General features: G+C 39.9%; 3 annotated features.

The window, feature by feature from the left end:
• Positions 7,505–8,004: an enhancer, noted in NCBI's record as "NANOG-H3K27ac hESC enhancer chr5:30495717-30496216 (GRCh37/hg19 assembly coordinates)". NCBI's record gives its function as "activates a minimal SCP1, AML or CMV promoter by ChIP-STARR-seq in naive H9 embryonic stem cells {active_cell/tissue: H9 hESC(naive)}" and the evidence as "EXISTENCE:reporter gene assay evidence [ECO:0000049][PMID:30033119]".
• Positions 8,005–8,506: an enhancer, noted in NCBI's record as "NANOG-H3K27ac hESC enhancer chr5:30495215-30495716 (GRCh37/hg19 assembly coordinates)". NCBI's record gives its function as "activates a minimal SCP1, AML or CMV promoter by ChIP-STARR-seq in naive H9 embryonic stem cells {active_cell/tissue: H9 hESC(naive)}" and the evidence as "EXISTENCE:reporter gene assay evidence [ECO:0000049][PMID:30033119]".
• Positions 16,002–16,738: an enhancer, noted in NCBI's record as "OCT4-NANOG-H3K27ac hESC enhancer chr5:30486983-30487719 (GRCh37/hg19 assembly coordinates)". NCBI's record gives its function as "activates a minimal SCP1, AML or CMV promoter by ChIP-STARR-seq in primed H9 embryonic stem cells {active_cell/tissue: H9 hESC(primed)}" and the evidence as "EXISTENCE:reporter gene assay evidence [ECO:0000049][PMID:30033119]".

Below are 18,984 nucleotides of genomic sequence, written 5' to 3'. Positions count from 1 at the left end.
TTATGTATCATAGGATATACAAGTAACTCAGAGTATTAAAAAGTCTTTTGTGGATCTGGCTTACACATTAAACAGGACTTACTTCCTTTCTACATCTCTGAATATCTTGAAATACTAACGGTATATTTTGTATTTCTCCTAAAACACTTATTATTCTTTGGCTTTAGGCCCTATCACAAAGTGGAACTATACTGAAGGTCAATAATGACCTTCCTTGTACAATACTTTAAGCTCTCTCTTTGAATAATATTGTTTTAAATTATCTCTCTACTGCATGTGACACTATAGGAGAAAGGTTATATTTAGCACGACAGTTGACCCTTGAACAACCTGGGTTTGAACTGTGTGGATTCACTTATACACAGATTTTCTTCTGCCACTGCCACCCTTGAGACAACAAGACAATTCCTCCTCTTCCTCCTCCTGAGCCTATTCAACAGGAAGATGATGAGGCTGAAAACTTTTATGATGATCCATTTCCACTTAATTCACGGTAAATATATTTTTCTTTCCTTATGATTTTTGTAAAAACATTTTCTCTCTCTAGTTTGCTCTATTGCAAGAATGCAGTATATAATACACATAGCATAGAAAATCTGTGTTAATCAACTATTTATGTTATTTGTAAGGCTTCTGGTGAACAGTGAAATATTACTAGATAAGTTTTTAGGGAGTCAACTGTTACACGTGGATTTTTTTACTGTGTAGGGAGTGGTACTCATAACCACCTAACCCTCTATCCCCCACGTTGTTCAAGGGTCAATTGTTCTTTTTTTTTTCTGAAAGGGTACACATTCTTACCTTTTTTTTTTTTTTTTTTTTTTGACACAGGGTCTCACTCTGTGCCCAGGTTGGAGTGCAGTGGCATGATCATAGTTCACTGCAACCTAGACTTACTGGGCTCAAGTGATCCTCCCATCTCAGCTTCTCCTTTATCTGGGGCTACAGGTGCACATCACTTTACCTAGCTAATTTTTTCATTTATTGCAGAGATGGGGTCTTGCTTATTGTGTTGGCTGATCTTGAACTCCTAGACTCAAACAATCCTCCCACCTCAGCCTCCCAAACTGCTAGGATTACAGGCTTGAGTCACAGATGCCTGGCCAGGTGCACATTCTTGAATCTGCTATTATTGCACTGACCATTCCCTCTCAGCTTTTCTGTGGTTTTCTTATTGCACAATCTCTTCCACTGGCATATTTTTTTCTAGGACACTTGTCTGTGTTACTGATTCCTTCCTCTCATTCTAAGTGTTTTCTCCAGATTTTATCAATGTCCTCATGAGGCTTTGTTTAGAGGCTTTATATATGTTTCCTTGGACTATCTTCCCAATTTGGATTATATCCCAGTGTTTGTGATTTGCAGTGTGGCTTTTCATAGGGCATTTCCAAAGAGTCTGCCTTAATCTACCAGTCACTGAGCTCCTGCTCCAACTTGAGCTCATTATTTTCACAGAAATATCCTTCACCCATATTCAGTGCTGCATTAGTGGTATTATTCCAACCTATCTAGTAGAAATCATTTGCCCCTTGCAGCAAACACGATTCATCTACTACAAAGATCTGGTATGCTCACACTCAAAATTGTTTCATTAAAAAAAATAAAATAATCGATTAGATCAAAGTCACATAATTTTTAAGCTAAGAGATTTGATCATTAATGTCCCCATTGTTTAGTTGAGAACACTGTTGCTTCTGGAGGGGGGAAAGCATGTCTCTGTGTTAGTGACTAAATAAGGTTTAAACCAAGTTTCGCTTTCTCCCAATCTGATAAATCTATTGTTTTTTCTACTGTCATAGTTTATTACTTCATTCTTATCTTCCTAGAGATCATCTAATAGATCCTTTCGTCCACCCTCTTTGTTTGGTTTATCAAACATTTATTTGATACCTCTTAAATGTCCTAATTAATATATTCTTACTACACTGCTTATCTCATAATATTTCTACTTGTTAAACAAAAATAATGACTCCACAGCTTTTTAAATACAGCCTGAATTCCTTAGAGAGATGATCTATGACCTGGTCCCAAGTCTTCTTTTCAGTTTAATTTGCTGCTACTGTTCTCAGGAGCTCTACACAACAACCTCATAAAAATATGCTCTTTAATGAGATCATATGCTCCTCAGGGTCTAATGTGCATCTTCCAATTCGGCAAAACAGTTTACATTCTTTCATTAAAGTGAAGTGTGGACACAATTATAGCAACGTGGATAAAATATCATGCTTTTTCCAGTTTATCTAGAAACTGTTTTCAGAACACAGTTCTGGGTTTGAATTCTGACCCTGACACCAATATTGTGACCTTAAACAAGTACTGTAACAATGCTGACTGAGCTTTTAACCAGTGGTAAATGACATTACTGCTATTTACTTTTCCAGACCAGTGCGAAGATTAACCAAGATGAAGCATGTAAAAACCTAGCTTTGCTATTGTTACTAGGAAAAGAATTGGTACTATGAGGGAAAAAAGAAGAGGAGTAGAGGACAAGGAGGATATTGTATATTATACTGTTATCAAGAGGTCCTGTATATTAGTATACAGTATATTAGTATACAGGACCTCTTGCCCTATTTTGAATTCGTTTTCTTACTCCTAGTATATTGTTTCTAACCTACTAACATACTTTTGTAGATTTTGTTTGGCAGAGTATATGTCTCACACCTGTTTTATTATCAGTGACTTAAATCCAGGGAGAAAATTTCATTTAAATTTGAATCTTCTTCAACACCTAATACCTCATCCTGTACCCAGTAGGCTGTCAATAAATACTGAAATAATTAATGCTGGGTGGCTCAGAGGCCTGCAGCTGTTTTAAGAGAAGGGCCATGACACAGGATAAGGCTCTCAGCCTATGCAGTCAGAACGCTTTCTCTTCTACCTCACAGCCTCTGGTGCTAGATATTAGAGGAAGCAAAATCAAGCTGACCATAGAACAAGGGGCGGTTGGCACAGTCTCTTGATTTGTGGTTGTTAGGCAACACTTTTCTTAGATTTGTTAACTGAATGAAGATAAAAATATTGAATTCTGCTAGTTAAATCCAAATAGACTAATGCTTTAAGCACAAATATAAAAAATTAAAGACTCTAAATGTATTAATTTGAGTACATAAGATTGTTTTTGCAAGAATTAACAATTATTGACAGTTCAGGAAGTGGATTGTGTTTATTCATGTATATATACCTGACTTTGATGCATATATAATATGCATTTAAATATATGAAAGTAGCATTTTGTCTTGGAATTCATATCCTTATGCTTTTATTTAATGAAATTGGGTTTTTAGAAAATATCTCTGAGATTTAGACACAAATCCCACTTTTTATATCTTCAACATTGATTATGCCTAAAATGTGACTCATAATTTTCAAAAATTATATTGTGTAGGTTTTGTCACATATAGTCTCTTCAACTTGAGTATATGTATTGCAAGTTTTCAAATATAAAAGGTCATAGTTTCAAGAAAAATTGTTCCTCAGTAAAAATGCTTTGAGTGGCAAATAAGAGATGCATGGGAAAGCAACATATTTGCTGAGTGAATTATTAGAGATCTGTATAGATTAACTTCATATTTAGTAAGATGGATTTACTCAACATCTTGCTTTTACAGAACGGAAAAAAAAATGGAATTCCTTTCCAAGATGAACGAATAGGAACAGCTCTGGTCTGAAGCTCCCAGCGTGATCAACACAGCAGAAGGGTGATTTCTGCATTTCCAACTGAGATACCTGGTTCATCTCATTGGGACTGGTTGGACAGTGGGTGCAGCCCACAGAGGGTGAACCAAAACAGAGTGGGGTGTTGCCACACCCAGGAAGTGCAAGGGGTTGGGGGATTTCCCTTTCCCAGCTAAGGAAAGCTGTGACAGACTGTACCTGGAAAATCAGTACACTTCTGCCCAAATACTGCACTTTTCCCATCGTCTTAGCAACTGGCAGACTAGGAGTTTCTCTCCCATGCCTGGCTCGGCGGGTCTGATGCTCACAGAGCCTTGCCCAGTGCTAGCACAGAAGTCTGAGATTGACCTGCAAGGCTGCAGTCTAGCTGGGGGAGGGGCATCTGCCATTGCTGAGGCTTGGGTAGGTAAACAAAGTAGCCAGGAAGCTCGAACTGGGCAGAGCCCACCACACCTCAGCAAGGACTACTGCCTCTATAGACTCCACCTCTGTGGACAGGGCATAGCTTAAAAGACAGCAGACAACTTCTACAGACTTAAATGTCCCTGTCTGACAGCTCAGATGAGCAGTGGTTTTTCCAGCATAGCATTTGAGCTCTGAGAACAGACAGACTGCTTCCTCAAGTGGATCCCTGACCCCTGTGTAGCCTAACTGGGAGATGCCTCCCAGTAGGAGCCGACAGACACCTCATACAGGTGGGTACTCCTCTGGGATGAACCTTCCAGAGGAAAGATCAGGCAGAAATATTTGCTGTTCTGCAGTATTTGCTGTTCTGTAGCCTCTGCTGGTGATAGCCAGGCAAACAGGTTCTGGAGTGTACCTCCAGCAAACTCCAACAGACCTGCAGCTGAGGGACCTGTTAGAAGGAAAACTAACAAACAGAAAGGAATAGCACCAACATCAACACAAAAGACATCCACATCAAAACCTCATCTGTAGGTCATCAACATCAAAGACCAAAGGTAGATAAAACCACAAAGATGGGGAGAAACCAGAGCAAAAAATCTGAAAATTCTAAAAACCAGAGCACCTCTTCTCCTCCAAAGGATCATAGCTCCTTGCCAACAACAGAACAAAGCTGGATGGAGAATGACTTTCACGAGTTGACAGAAGTAGGCTTCAGAAGGTCAGTAATAACAAACTTCTCCGAGCTAAAGGAGCATGTTCTAACCCATCACAAGGAAGCTAAAAACCTTGAAAAAAGGTTAGATGAATGGTTAACTAGAATAAACAGTGCAGAGAAGACCTTAAGTGACCTGATGGAGCTGAAAACCATGGCACGAGAACTTCATGACACATGCAAAAGCTTCAATAGCTGATTCAATCAAATAGAAGAAAGGATATCAGTGATTGAAGATTAAATTAATGAAATAAAGTGAGAAGACAAGATTAGAGAAAAAAGAGAAAAAGTAATGAACAAAGCCTCCAAGAAATATGGGACTATGTGAAAAGACCAAATATATGTTTGACTGGTGTACCTGAAAGTGATGGGGAGAATGGAACCAAGTTGGAAAACACTCTTCAGGGTATTATCCAGAAAAACTTCCCCAACCTAGCAAGGCAGGCCAACATTCAAATTCAGGAAATACAGAGAACACCATAAAGACACTCCTCGAGAACAGCAACTCCAAGACACATAATTGTCAGATTCACCAAGGTTGAAAAGAAGGAAAAAATGTTAAGGGCAGCCAGAGAGAAAGGTTGGGTTACCCACAAAGGGAAGTCCATCAGACTAACAGCAGATCTCTTGGCAGAAAGAGAAGTGGCAGAAGAGAGTGGGAACCAATATTCAACATTCTTAAAGAAAAGAATTTTCAGCCCAGAATTTTATATCCAGCCAAATTAAGCTTTATAAGTGCAGGAGAAATAAAACCCTTTACAAACAAGCAATTGCAGAGAGATTTTGTCACCACCAGGCCTGCCTTACAAGACCTCCTGAAGGAAGCACTAAACACGGAAAGGAACAACCAGTACCAGCCACTGCAAAAACATCCCAAATTGTAAAGACCATCAAGGCTAGGAAGAAACTGCATCAACTAATGAGCAAAATAACCAGCTAACATCATAATGACAGGATCAAATTCACACATAACAATATTAACCTTAAATGTAAATGGGCTAAATGCCCCAATTAAAAGACACAGACTGGCCATTTGGCTAAAGAGTCAAGACCTATCAGTGTACTGTATTCAGGAGACCCATCTCACGTGCACAGACACATATAGGCTTAAAATAAAGGGATGGAGGAAGATCTACCAAGCAAATGGAAAGCAGAAAAAAAAAGCAGGGGTTGCAATCGTAGTCTCTGATAAAACAGACTTTAAACCAACAAGATCAAAAGAGACAAAGAAGGCCATTACATAATGGTAAAGGGATCAATTCAACAAGAAGAGCTAACTATCCTAAATATATATGCACCTAATACAGGGGCACCCTGATTCATAAAGCAAGTCCTTAGAGACCTACAAAGAGACTTAGATTCCCACATAATAATAATGGGAGACTTTAACAACCCACTCTTTATATAAGACAGATCAATGAAACAGAAGGTTAATAAGGATATCCAGGACTGGAAGTCAGCACTGCACCAAGCAGACCTAATAGACATCTGCGGAACTCTCTATCCCAAATCAACAGAGTATACATTCTTCTCAGCACCACATCGGACTTATTCCAAAATTGACCACATAATTGGAAGTAAAGCACTCCTCAGCAAATGTAATAGAACAGAAGTCACAACAAACTGTCTCTCAGACCACAGTGCAATCAAATTAGGACTCAGGATTAAGAAATTCACTCAAAACCGCTCAACTACATAGAAACTGAGCAACCTGATCCTGAATGACTACAGGGTAAATAACAAAATGAAGGCAGAAATAAAGATTTTCTTTGAAACCAATGAGAACAAAGACACAATGTACCAGAATCTCTGGAACACATTTAAAGCAGTGTGTAGAGAAAAATTTATAGCAATAAATGGCCACAAGAGAAACCAGGAAAGATCTAAAATTGGCACCCTAACAGCACAATTAAAAGAACTAGAGAAGCAAAAGCAAACAAATTCAAAAGCTAGCAGAAGGCAAGAAATAACTAAGATCAGAGCACAACTTACAGAGATAGAGACACAATAAAACCCTTCAAAAAAATCAATGAATCCAGAAGCTGGTTTTTTGAAAAGATGAACGAAATTGATAGATTTCTAGTAAGACTAATAAAGAAGAAAAGAGAGAAGAATCAAACAGATGCAATAAAAAATGATAAAGGGGTATCACCACTGATCTCACAGAAATACAAATGACCATCAGAGAATACTATAAACACCTCTACACAAATAAACTAGAAAATCTAGAAGAAATGGATAAATTCCTGGACACATACACCCTCCCAAGACTAAACCAGGAAGAAGTCGAATCTCTGAATAGACCAAAAACAGGCTCTGAAATTGAGGCAATAATTAATAGCCTACCAACTAACCAAAGTCCAGGACTAGATGGATTCACAGCCAAATTCTACCAGAGGTACAAAGAGGAGCTGGTACCATTCCTTCTGAAACTATTCCAATCAATAGAAAAAGAGGGAATCCTCCCTAACTCATTTAGTGAAGCCAGCATCATCCGGACACCAAAGCCCGGCAGAGACACAACAAAAAAAAGAGAATTTTAGACAAATATCCCTGATGAACATCAATGTGAAAATCCTCAATAAAATACTGGCAAACAGAATCCAGCAGCATATCAGAAAGGTTATCCACCACGATCAAGTCAGCTTCATCCCTGGGATGCAAGTCTTGTTTAACATACACAAATCAATAAACATAATCCATCATATAAACAGAACTGTGGGGAAAAGCAAGAGAGATCAGATTGTTACTGTGTCTGTGTAGAAAGAAGTAGACATAGGAGACTCCATTTTGTTATGTACTAAGAAAAATTCTTCTGCCTTGAGATTCTGTGACCTTACCCCCAACCCCGTGCTCTCTGAAACATGTGCTGTGTCAACTCAGAGTTGAATGGATTAAGGGCAGTGCAAGATGTGCTTTGTTAAACAGATGCTTGAAGGCAGCATGCTCCTTAAGAGTCATCACCACTCCCTCATCTCAAGTACCCAGGGACACAAAAACTGCGGAAGGCCGCAGGGACCTCTGCCTAGGAAAGCCAGGTATTGTCCAAGGTTTCATAGTCTGAAATATGGCCTCGTGGGAAGGGAAAGACCTGACTGTCCCCCAGCCCGACACCCATAAAGGGTCTGTGCTGAGGAGGATTAGTATAAGAGGAAGGCATGCCTCTTGCAGTTGAGACAAGAGGAAGGCATCTGTCTCCTGCCTGTCCCTGGGCAATGGAATGTCTCAGTATAAAACCCGATTGTATGCTCCATCTACTGAGATAGGGAAAAACTGCCTTAGGGCTGGAGGTGGGACCTGCAGGCAGCAATACTGCTTTGTAAAGCATTGAGATGTTTATGTGTATGCATATCTAAAAGCACAGCACTTAATCCTTTACATTGTCTATGATGCAAAGACCTTTGTTCACGTGTTTGTCTGCTGACCCTCTCCCCACAATTGTCTTGTGACCCTGACACATCCCCCTCTTTGAGAAACACCCACGAATGATCAATAAATACTAAGGGAACTCAGAGGCTGGCGGGATCCTCCATATGCTGAACGCTGGTTCCCTAGGTCCCCTTATTTCTTTCTCTATACTTTGCCTCTGTGTCTTTTTCTTTCCTAAGTCTCTCATTCCACCTTTACGAGAAACACCCACAGGTGTGGAGGGGCAACCCACCCCTACATCTGGTGCCCAACGTGGAGGCTTTTCTCTAGGGTGAAGGTACGCTCGAGCATGGTCATTGAGGACAAGTCGACGAGAGATCCCGAGTACGTCTACAGTCAGCCTTTCGGTAAGCTTGTGCGCTTGGAAGAAGCTAGGGTGATAATGGGGCAAACTAAAAGTAAAATTAAGAGTAAATATGCCTCTTATCTCAGCTTTATTAAAATTCTTTTAAAAAGAGGGGGAGTTAAAGTATCTACAAAAAATCTAATCAAGCTATTTCAAATAATAGAACAATTTTGCCCATGGTTTCCAGAACAAGGAACTTTAGATCTAAAAGATTGGAAAAGAATTGGTAAGGAACTAAAACAAGCAGGTAGGAAGGGTAATATCATTCCACTTACAGTATGGAATGATTGGGCCATTATTAAAGCAGCTTTAGAACCATTTCAAACAGAAGAAGATAGTGTTTCAGTTTCTGATGCCCCTGGAAGCTGTTTAATAGATTGTAATGAAAAGACAAGGAAAAAATCCCAGAAAGAAATGGAAGGTTTACATTGCGAATATGTAGCAGAGCCGGTGATGGCTCAGTCAACACAAAATGTTGACTATAATCAATTACAGGAGGTGATATATCCTGAAACGTTAAAATTAGAAGGAAAAGGTCCCGAATTAGTGGGGCCATTAGAGTCTAAACCATGAGGCACAAGTCCTCTTCCAGCAGGTCAGGTGCCTGTAACATTACAACCTCAAACGCAGGTTAAAGAAAATAAGACCCAACCGCCAGTAGCCTATCAATACTGGCTGCCGGCTGAACTTCAGTATCGGCCACCCCCAGAAAGTCAGTATGGATATCCAGGAATACCCCCAGCACCACAGGGCAGGGTGCCATACCCTCAGCCACCCACTAGGAGACTTAATCCTATGGCACCACCTAGTAGACAGGGTAGTGAATTACATGAAATTATTGATAAATCAAGAAAGGAAGGAGATACTGAGGCATGGCAATTCCCAGTAACGTTAGAACCGATGCCACCTGGAGAAGGAGCCCAAGAGGGAGAGCCTCTCACAGTTGAGGCCAGATACAAGTCTTTTTCGATAAAAATGCTAAAAGATATGAAAGAGGGAGTAAAACAGTATGGACCCAACTCCCCTTATATGAGGACATTATTAGATTCCATTGCTCATGGACATAGACTCATTCCTTATGATTGGGAGATTCTGGCAAAATCGTCTCTCTCACCCTCTCTATTTTTACAATTTAAGACTTGGTGGATTGATGGGGTACAAGAACAGGTCCGAAGAAATAGGGCTGCCAATCCTCCAGTTAACATAGATGCAGATCAACTATTAGGAACAGGTCAAAATTGGAGTACTATTAGTCAACAAGCGTTAATGCAAAATGAGGCCATTGAGCAAGTTAGAGCTATCTGCCTTAGAGCCTGGGAAAAAATCCAAGACCCAGGAAGCGCCTGCCCCTCATTTAATACAGTAAGACAAGGTTCGAAAGAGCCCTACCTTGATTTTGTGGCAAGGCTCCAAGATGTTGCTCAAAAGTCAATTGCCAATGAAAAAGCCCATAAGGTCATAGTGGAGTTGATGGCATATGAAAACGCCAATCTTGAGTGTCAATCAGCCATTAAGCCATTAAAAGCAAAGGTTCCTGCAGGATCAGATGTAATCTCAGAATATGTAAAAGCCTGTGATGGAATCGGAGGAGCTATGCATAAAGCTATGCTTATGGCTCAAGCAATAACAGGAGTTGTTTTAGGAGGACAAGTTAGAACATTTGGAGGAAAATGATATAATTGTGGTCAAATTGGTCACTTAAAAAAGAACTGCCCAGTCTTAAATAAACAGAATATAACTATTCAAGCTACTACCACAACAGGTAGAGAGCCAGCTGACTTATGTCCAAGATGTAAAAAAGGAAAACATTGGGCTAGTCAATGTTGTTCTAAATTTGATAAAAATGGGCAACCATTGTCGGGAAATGAGCAAAGGGGCCAGCCTCAGGCCCCACAACAAACTGGGGCATTCCCAATTCAGCCATTTGTTCCTCAGGGTTTTCAGGGACAACAACCCCCACTGTCCCAAGTGTTTCAGGGAATAAGCCAGTTACCACAATACAACAATTGTCCCCCGCCACAAGCGGCAGTGCAGCAGTAGATTTATGTACTATACAAGCAGTCTCTCTGCTTCCAGGGGAGCCCCCACAAAAAATCCCCACAGGGGTATATGGCCCACTGCCTGAGGGGACTGTAGGACTAATCTTGGGAAGATCAAGTCTAAATCTAAAAGGAGTTCAAATTCATACTAGTGTGGTAGATACAGACTATAAAGGTGAAATTCAATTGGTTATTAGCTCTTCAGTTCCTTGGAGTGCCAGTCCAGGAGACAGGATTGCTCAATTATTACTCCTGCCATACATTAAGGGTGGAAATAGTGAAATAAAAAGAATAGGAGAGTTTGGAAGCACTGATCCGACAGGAAAGGCTGCATATTGGGCAAGTCAGGTCTCAGAGAACAGACCTGTGTGTAAGGCCATTATTCAAGGAAAACAGTTTGAAGGGTTGGTAGACACTGAAGCAGATGTCTCTATCATTGCTTTAAATCAGTGGCCAAAAAATTGGCCTAAACAAAAGGCTGTTACAGGACTTGTCGGCATAGGCACAGCCTCAGAAGTGTATCAAAGTACTGAGATTTTACATTGCTTAGGGCCAGATAATCAAGAAAGTACTGTTCAGCCAATGATTACTTCAATTCCTCTTAATCTGTGGGGTCAAGATTTATTACAACAATGGGGTGTGGAAATCACCATGCCCGCTCCATTATATAGCCCCACGAGTCAAAAAATCATGACCAAGATGGGATATATACCAGGAAAGGGACTAGGGAAAAATGAAGATGGCATTAAAGTTCCAGTTGAGGCTAAAATAAATCAAAAAAGAGAAGGAATAGGGTATCCTTTTTAGGGGCGGCCACTGTAGAGCCTCCTAAACCCATACCATTAACTTGGAAAACAGAAAAACCGGTGTGGGTAAATCAGTGGCCGCTACCAAAACAAAAACTGGAGGCTTTACATTTATTAGCAAATGAACAGTTAGAAAAGGGTCATATTGAGCCTTCATTCTCGCCTTGGAATTCTCCTGTGTTTGTGATTCAGAAGAAATCAGGCAAATGGCGTATGTTAACTGACTTAAGGGCCGTAAACGCCATAATTCAACCCATGGGGCCTCTCCAATCTGGGTTGCCCTCTCCGGCCATGATCCCAAAAGATTGGCCTTTAATTATAATTGATCTAAAGGATTGCTTTTTTACCATCCCTCTGGCGGAGCAGGATTGCGAAAAATTTGCCTTTACTATACTAGCCATAAATAATAAAGAACCAGCCACCAGGTTTCAGTGGAAAGTGTTACCTCAGGGAATGCTTAATAGTCCAACTATTTGTCAGACTTTTGTAGGTCGAGCTCTTCAACCAGTTAGAGACAAGTTTTCAGACTGTTATATTATTCATTATATTGATGATATTTTATGTGCTGCAGAAACGAAAGATAAATTAATTGACTGTTATACATTTCTGCAAGCAGAGGTTGCCAACGCAGGACTGGCAATAGCATCTGATAAGATCCAAACCTCTACTCCTTTTCATTATTTAGGGATGCAGATAGAAAATAGAAAAATTAAGCCACAAAAAATAGAAATAAGAAAATACACATTAAAAACACTAAATGATTTTCAAAAATTGCTGGGAGATATTAATTGGATTCGGCCAACTCTAGGCATTCCTACTTATGCCATGTCAAATTTGTTCTCTATCTTAAGAGGAGACTCAGACTTAAATAGTAAAAGAATGTTAACCCCAGAGGCAACAAAAGAAATTAAATTAGTGGAAGAAAAAATTCAGTCAGTGCAAATAAATAGAATAGATCCCTTAGCCCCACTCCAACTTTTGATTTTTGCCACTGCACATTCTCCAACAGGCATCATTATTCAAAATACTGATCTTGTGGAGTGGTCATTCCTTCCTCACAGTACAGTTAAGACTTTTACATTGTACTTGGATCAAATAGCTACATTAATTGGTCAGACAAGATTACGAATAATAAAATTATGTGGAAATGACCCAGACAAAATAGTTGTCCCTTTAACCAAGGAACAAGTTAGACAAGCCTTTATCAATTCTGGTGCATGGCAGATTGGTCTTGCTAATTTTGTGGGAATTATTGATAATCATTACCCAAAAACAAAGATCTTCCAGTTCTTAAAATTGACTACTTGGATTCTACCTAAAATTACCAGACATGAACCTTTAGAAAATGCTCTAACAATATTTACTGATGGTTCCAGCAATGGAAAAGCAGCTTACACAGGGCCGAAAGAATGAGTAATCAAAACTCCATATCAATCAGCTCAAAGAGCAGAGTTGGTTGCAGTCATTAAAGTGTTACAAGATTTTGACCAACCTATCAATATTATATCAGATTCTGCATATGTAGTACAGGCTACAAGGGATGTTGAGACAGCTCTAATTAAATATAGCATGGATGATCAGTTAAACCAGCTATTCAATTTATTACAACAAACTGTAAGAAAAAGAAATTTCCCATTTTATATTACTCATATTCGAGCACACACTAATTTACCAGGGCCTTTGACTAAAGCAAATGAACAAGCTGACTTACTGGTATCATCTGCATTCATAAAAGCACAAGAACTTCATGCTTTGACTCATGTAAATGCAGCAGGATTAAAAAACAAATTTGATGTCACATGGAAACAGGCAAAAGATATTGTACAACATTGCACCCAGTGTCAAGTCTTACACCTGCCCACTCAAGAGGCAGGAGTTAATCCCAGAGGTCTGTGTCCTAATGCATTATGGCAAGTGGATGTCACGCATGTACCTTCATTTGGAAGATTATCATATGTTCATGTAACAGTTGATACTTATTCACATTTCATATGGGCAACTTGCCAAACAGGAGAAAGTACTTCCCATGTTAAAAAACATTTATTGTCTTGTTTTGCTGTAATGGGAGTTCCAGAAAAAATCAAAACTGACAATGGACCAGGATATTGTAGTAAAGCTTTCCAAAAATTCTTAAGTCAGTGGAAAATTTCACATACAACAGGAATTCCTTATAATTCCCAAGGACAGGCCATAGTTGAAAGAACTAATAGAACACTCAACACTCAGTTAAACAAAAAGAAGGGGGAGACAGTAAGGAGTGTACCACTCCTCAGATGCAACTTAATCTAGCACTCTATACTTTAAATTTTTTAAACATTTATAGAAATCAGACTACTACTTCTGCAGAACAACATCTTACTGGTTAAAAGAACAGCCCACATGAAGGAAAACTAATTTGGTGGAAAGATAATAAAAATAAGACATGGGAAATAGGGAAGGTGATAACGTGGGGGAGAGGTTTTGCTTGTGTTTCACCAGGAGAAAATCAGCTTCCTGTTTGGATACCCACTAGACATTTGAAGTTCTACAATGAACCCATCGGAGATGCAAAGAAAAGCACCTCCGCGGAGACGGAGACACTGCAATCGAGCACCGTTGACTCACAAGATGAACAAAATGGTGACGTCAGAAGAAGAGATGAAGTTGCCATCCACCAAGAAGGCAGAGCCGCTGACTTGGGCACAACTAAAGAAGCTGACGCAGTTAGCTACAAAATGTCTAGAGAACACAAAGGTGACACAAACCCCAGAGAGTATGCTGCTTGCAGCCTTGATGATTGTATCAATGGTGGTAAGTCTCCCTATGCCTGCAGGAGCAGCTGCAGCTAACTATACCTACTGGGCCTATGTGCCTTTCCCGCCCTTAATTTGGGCAGTCACATGGATGGATAATCCTATAGAAGTATATGTTAATGATAGTGTATGGGTTCCTGGCCCCACAGATGATCGCTGCCCTGCCAAACCTGAGGAAGAAGGGATGATGATAAATATTTCCACTGGGTATCGTTATCCTCCTATTTGCCTAGGGAGAGCACCAGGATGTTTAATGCCTGCAGTCCAAAATTGGTTGGTAGAAGTACCTACTGTCAGTCCCATCAGTAGATTCACTTATCACATGGTAAGCGGGATGTCACTCAGGCCACGGGTAAATTATTTACAAGACTTTTCTTATCAAAGATCATTAAAATTTAGACCTAAAGGGAAACCTTGCCCCAAGGAAATTCCCAAAGAATCAAAAAATACAGAAGTTTTAGTTTGGGAAGAATGTGTGGCCAATAGTGCAGTGATATTACAAAACAATGAATTTGGAACTATTATAGATTGGGCACCTCGAGGTCAATTCTACCACAATTGCTCAGGATGAACTCAGTCGTGTCCAAGTGCACAAGTGAGTCCAGCTGTTGATAGCGACTTAACAGAAAGTTTAGACAAACATAAGCATAAAAAATTGCAGTCTTTCTACCCTTGGGAATGGGGAGAAAAAGGAATCTCTACCCCAAGACCAAAAATAATAAGTCCTGTTTCTGGTCCTGAACATCCAGAATTATGGAGGCTTACTGTGGCCTCACACCACATTAGAATTTGGTCTGGAAATCAGACTTTAGAAACAAGAGATCATAAGCCATTTTATACTATCGACCTAAATTCCAGTCTAACGGTTCCTTTACAAAGTTGCGTAAAGCCCCCTTATATGCTAGTTGTAGGAAATATAGCTATTAAACCAGACTCCCAGACTATAACCTGTGAAAATTGTAGATTGCTTACTTGCATTGATTCAACTTTTAATTGGCAACACCGTATTCTGCTGGTGAGAGCAAGAGAGGGCGTGTGGATCCCTGTGTCCATGGACCGACCGTGGGAGGCCTCGCCATCCATCCATATTTTGACTGAAGTATTAAAAGGTGTTTTAAATAGATCCAAAAGATTCATTTTTACTTTAATTGCAGTGATTATGGGATTAATTGCAGTCACAGCTATGGCTGCTGTAGCAGGAGTTGCATTGCACTCTTCTGTTCAGTCGGTAAACTTTGTTAATGATTGGCAAAAAAATTCTACAAGATTGTGGAATTCACAATCTAGTATTGATCAAAAATTGGCAAATCAAATTAATGATCTTAGACAAACTGTCATTTGGATGGGAGACAGACTCATGAGCTTAGAACATCGTTTCCAGTTACAGTGTGACTGGAATATGTCAGACTTTTGTATTACACCCCAAATTTATAATGAGTCTGAGCATCACTGGGACATGGTTAGACGGCATCTACAGGGAAGAGAAGATAATCTCACTTTAGACATTTCCAAGTTAAAAGAACAAATTTTCGAAGCATCAAAAACCCATTTAAATTTGGTGCCAGGAACTGAGGCAATTGCAGGAGTTGCTGATGGCCTCGCAAATCTTAACCCTGTCACTTGGGTTAAGACCATCGGAAGTACTACAATTATAAATCTCATATTAATCCTTGTGTGCCTGTTTTGTCTGTTGTTAGTCTGCAGGTGTAACCAACAGCTCCAAAGAGACAGCGACCATCGAGAACGGGCCATGATTACGATGGTGGTTTTGTCGAAAAGAAAAGGGGGAAATGTGGGGAAAAGCAAGAGCGATCAGATTGTTGCTGTGTCTGTGTAGAAAGAAGTAGACATAGGAGACTCCATTTTGTTATGTACTAAGAAAAATTCTTCTGCCTTGAGATTCTGTGACCTTACCCCCAACCCCATGCTCTCTGAAACATGTGCTGTGTCAACTCAGAGATGAATGGATTAAGGGCGGTGCAAGATGTGCTTTGTTAAACAGATGCTTGAAGGCAGCATGCTCCTTAAGAGTCATCACCACTCCCTCATCTCAAGTACCCAGGGACACAAAAACTGCGGAAGGCTGCAGGGACCTCTGCCTAGGAAAGCCAGGTATTGTCCAAGGTTTCTCCCCATGTGATAGTCTGAAATATGGCCTCGTGGGAAGGGAAAGACCTGACCGTCCCCCAGCCCGACACCCGTAAAGGGTCTGTGCTGAGGAGGATTAGTATAAGAGGAAGGCATGCCTCTTGCAGTTGAGACAAGAGGAAGGCATCTGTCTCCTGCCTGTCCCTGGGCAATGGAATGTCTCGTTATAAAACCCGATTGTATGCTCCATCTACTGAGATAGGGAAAAACCGCCTTAGGGCTGGAGGTGGGACCTGCGGGCAGCAATACTGCTTTGTAAAGCATTGAGATGTTTATGTGTATGCATATCTAAAAGCACAGCACTTAATCCTTTACATTGTCTATGATGCAAAGACCTTTGTTCACGTGTTTGTCTGCTGACCCTCTCCCCACAATTGTCTTGTGACCCTGACACATCCCCCTCTTTGAGAAACACCCACGAATGATCAATAAATACTAAGGGAACTCAGAGGCTGGCGGGATCCTCCATATGCTGAACGCTGGTTCCCCGGATCCCCTTATTTCTTTCTCTATACTTTGTCTCTGTGTCTTTTTCTTTCCTAAGTCTCTCATTCCACCTTACGAGAAACACCCACAGGTGTGGAGGGGCAACCCACCCCTACACAGAACCAATGACAAAAACCACATGATTATCTCAATAGATGCAGAAAAGGCCTTCGACAAAATTCAATAGCCATTAATGCTAAAAACTCTCAATAAACTAGGTATCGATGGAACATATCTCAAAATAATAAGCGTTATTTATGACAAACCCACAGCTAATATCATACTGAATGTGCAAAAACTGGAAGCATTCCCTTTGAAAACTGGCAAAAGACAAGTATGCCCTCTCTACCACTATTCAACATAATGTTGTTAGTTCTGGCAAGGGCAATGAGGCCAGAGAAAGAAATAAAGGGTATTTAATTAGGAAAAGAGGAAGTCAAATTGTCCCTGTTTGCAGATGACATGATTGTATATTTAGAAAACCCCATTGTCTCAGCCCAAAATCTCCTTAAGCTGATAAGCAACTTCAGCAAAATCTCAGGATACAAAATCAATGTGCAAAAATCACAACCATTCCTATACATCAATAACAGACAAACAGAGAGCCAAATCATGAGTGAACTCCCATTCACAATTGCTACAAAGTGAATAAAGTACCTAGGAATCCAACTTCCAAGGGATGTGAAGGACCTCTTCAAGGAGAACTACAAACCACTGCTCAACAAAATAAAAGAGGACACAAACAAATGGAAGAATATTCCATGCTCATGGATAGGAAGAATCAATATTGTGAAAATGGCTATACAGGTCAAGGTAATTTATAGATTCAATGCCATCCCCATCAAGCTACCAATGACTTTCTTCACAGAATTGGGAAAACTACTTTAAAGTTCATATGGAACCAAAAAAGACCCTGCATAGCCAAGACAATCCTAAGCAAAAAGATCAAAGCTGGAGGCATCACACTATCTGACTTTAAACTATACTACAAGGCTACAGTAACCAAAACAGCATGGTACTGGTACTAAAACAGAGATATAGATCAATGGAACAGAACAGAGGCCTCAGAAATAATGCCACACATCTACAACCATCTGATCTTTAACATACCTGGCAAAAACAGGAAATGGGGAAAGGATTCCCTATTTAATAAATGGTGCTGGGAAAACTGGCTAGCCATAAGTAGAAAGCTGAAACTGGATCCCTTCCTTACACCTTATACAAAAATTAATTCAAGATGTATTGAAGACTTAAATATTATACCTAAAACCATAAAAACCCTAGAAGAAATCCTAGGCAATACCATTCAGGACATAGACATGGGCAAAGACTTCATGACTAAAACACCAAAAGCAATGGCAACAAAAGCCAAAATAGACCAATGGTATCTAATTACACTAAAGAGCTTCTGCACAGCAAAAGAAACTACCATCAGAGTGAACAGGCAACCTACAGAATGGGAGAAAATTTTTGCAATCTACCCCTCTGACAAAGGCTAATATCCAGAATCTACAAAAAACTTAAACAAATTTATAAGAGAAAAACAACTCCATCAAAAAATGGGCAAAGGATATGAACAGACACTTCTCAAAAGGAGACATGCATGCAGCCAACAGACACATGAAAAAATGCTCATCATCACTCTTCATCAGAGAAATGCAAATCAAAACCACAATGAGATACCATGTCATACCAGTTAGGATGACGATCATTAAAAAGTCAAGAAACAACAGATGTTGGAGAGGAATTGGAGAAATAGGAACACTTTTAGACTGTTGGTGGGAGTGTAAATTATTTCAACCATTGTGGAAGACAGTGTGGTGATTCTTTAAGGATCTAGAACCAGAAATACCCTTTTACCCAGCAATACCATTACTGGGTATATACCCAAAGGATTGTAAATCATGCTACTATAAAGACACATGCACACTTAGGTTTATTGCGGCAGTATACACAATAGCAAAGACTTGGAACCAAGCCAAATGTCCATCAATGATAGACTGGATTAAGAAAATGTGGCACATATACACCATGGATTACTATGCAGCCATAAAAAACGATGAATTAATGTCATTTGCAGGGACATGGATAAAACTGGAAACCATCATTCTCAGCAAACTATCACAAGGACAGAAAACCA

The sequence above is a fragment of the Homo sapiens genome, chromosome 5 (genome assembly GCF_000001405.40).
Source record: "Homo sapiens chromosome 5, GRCh38.p14 Primary Assembly".
NCBI lineage: Eukaryota > Metazoa > Chordata > Mammalia > Primates > Hominidae > Homo > Homo sapiens.
The sequence above is the reverse complement of the archived record's forward strand: the minus strand, read 5'-3'. Positions and strand labels throughout refer to the sequence as shown.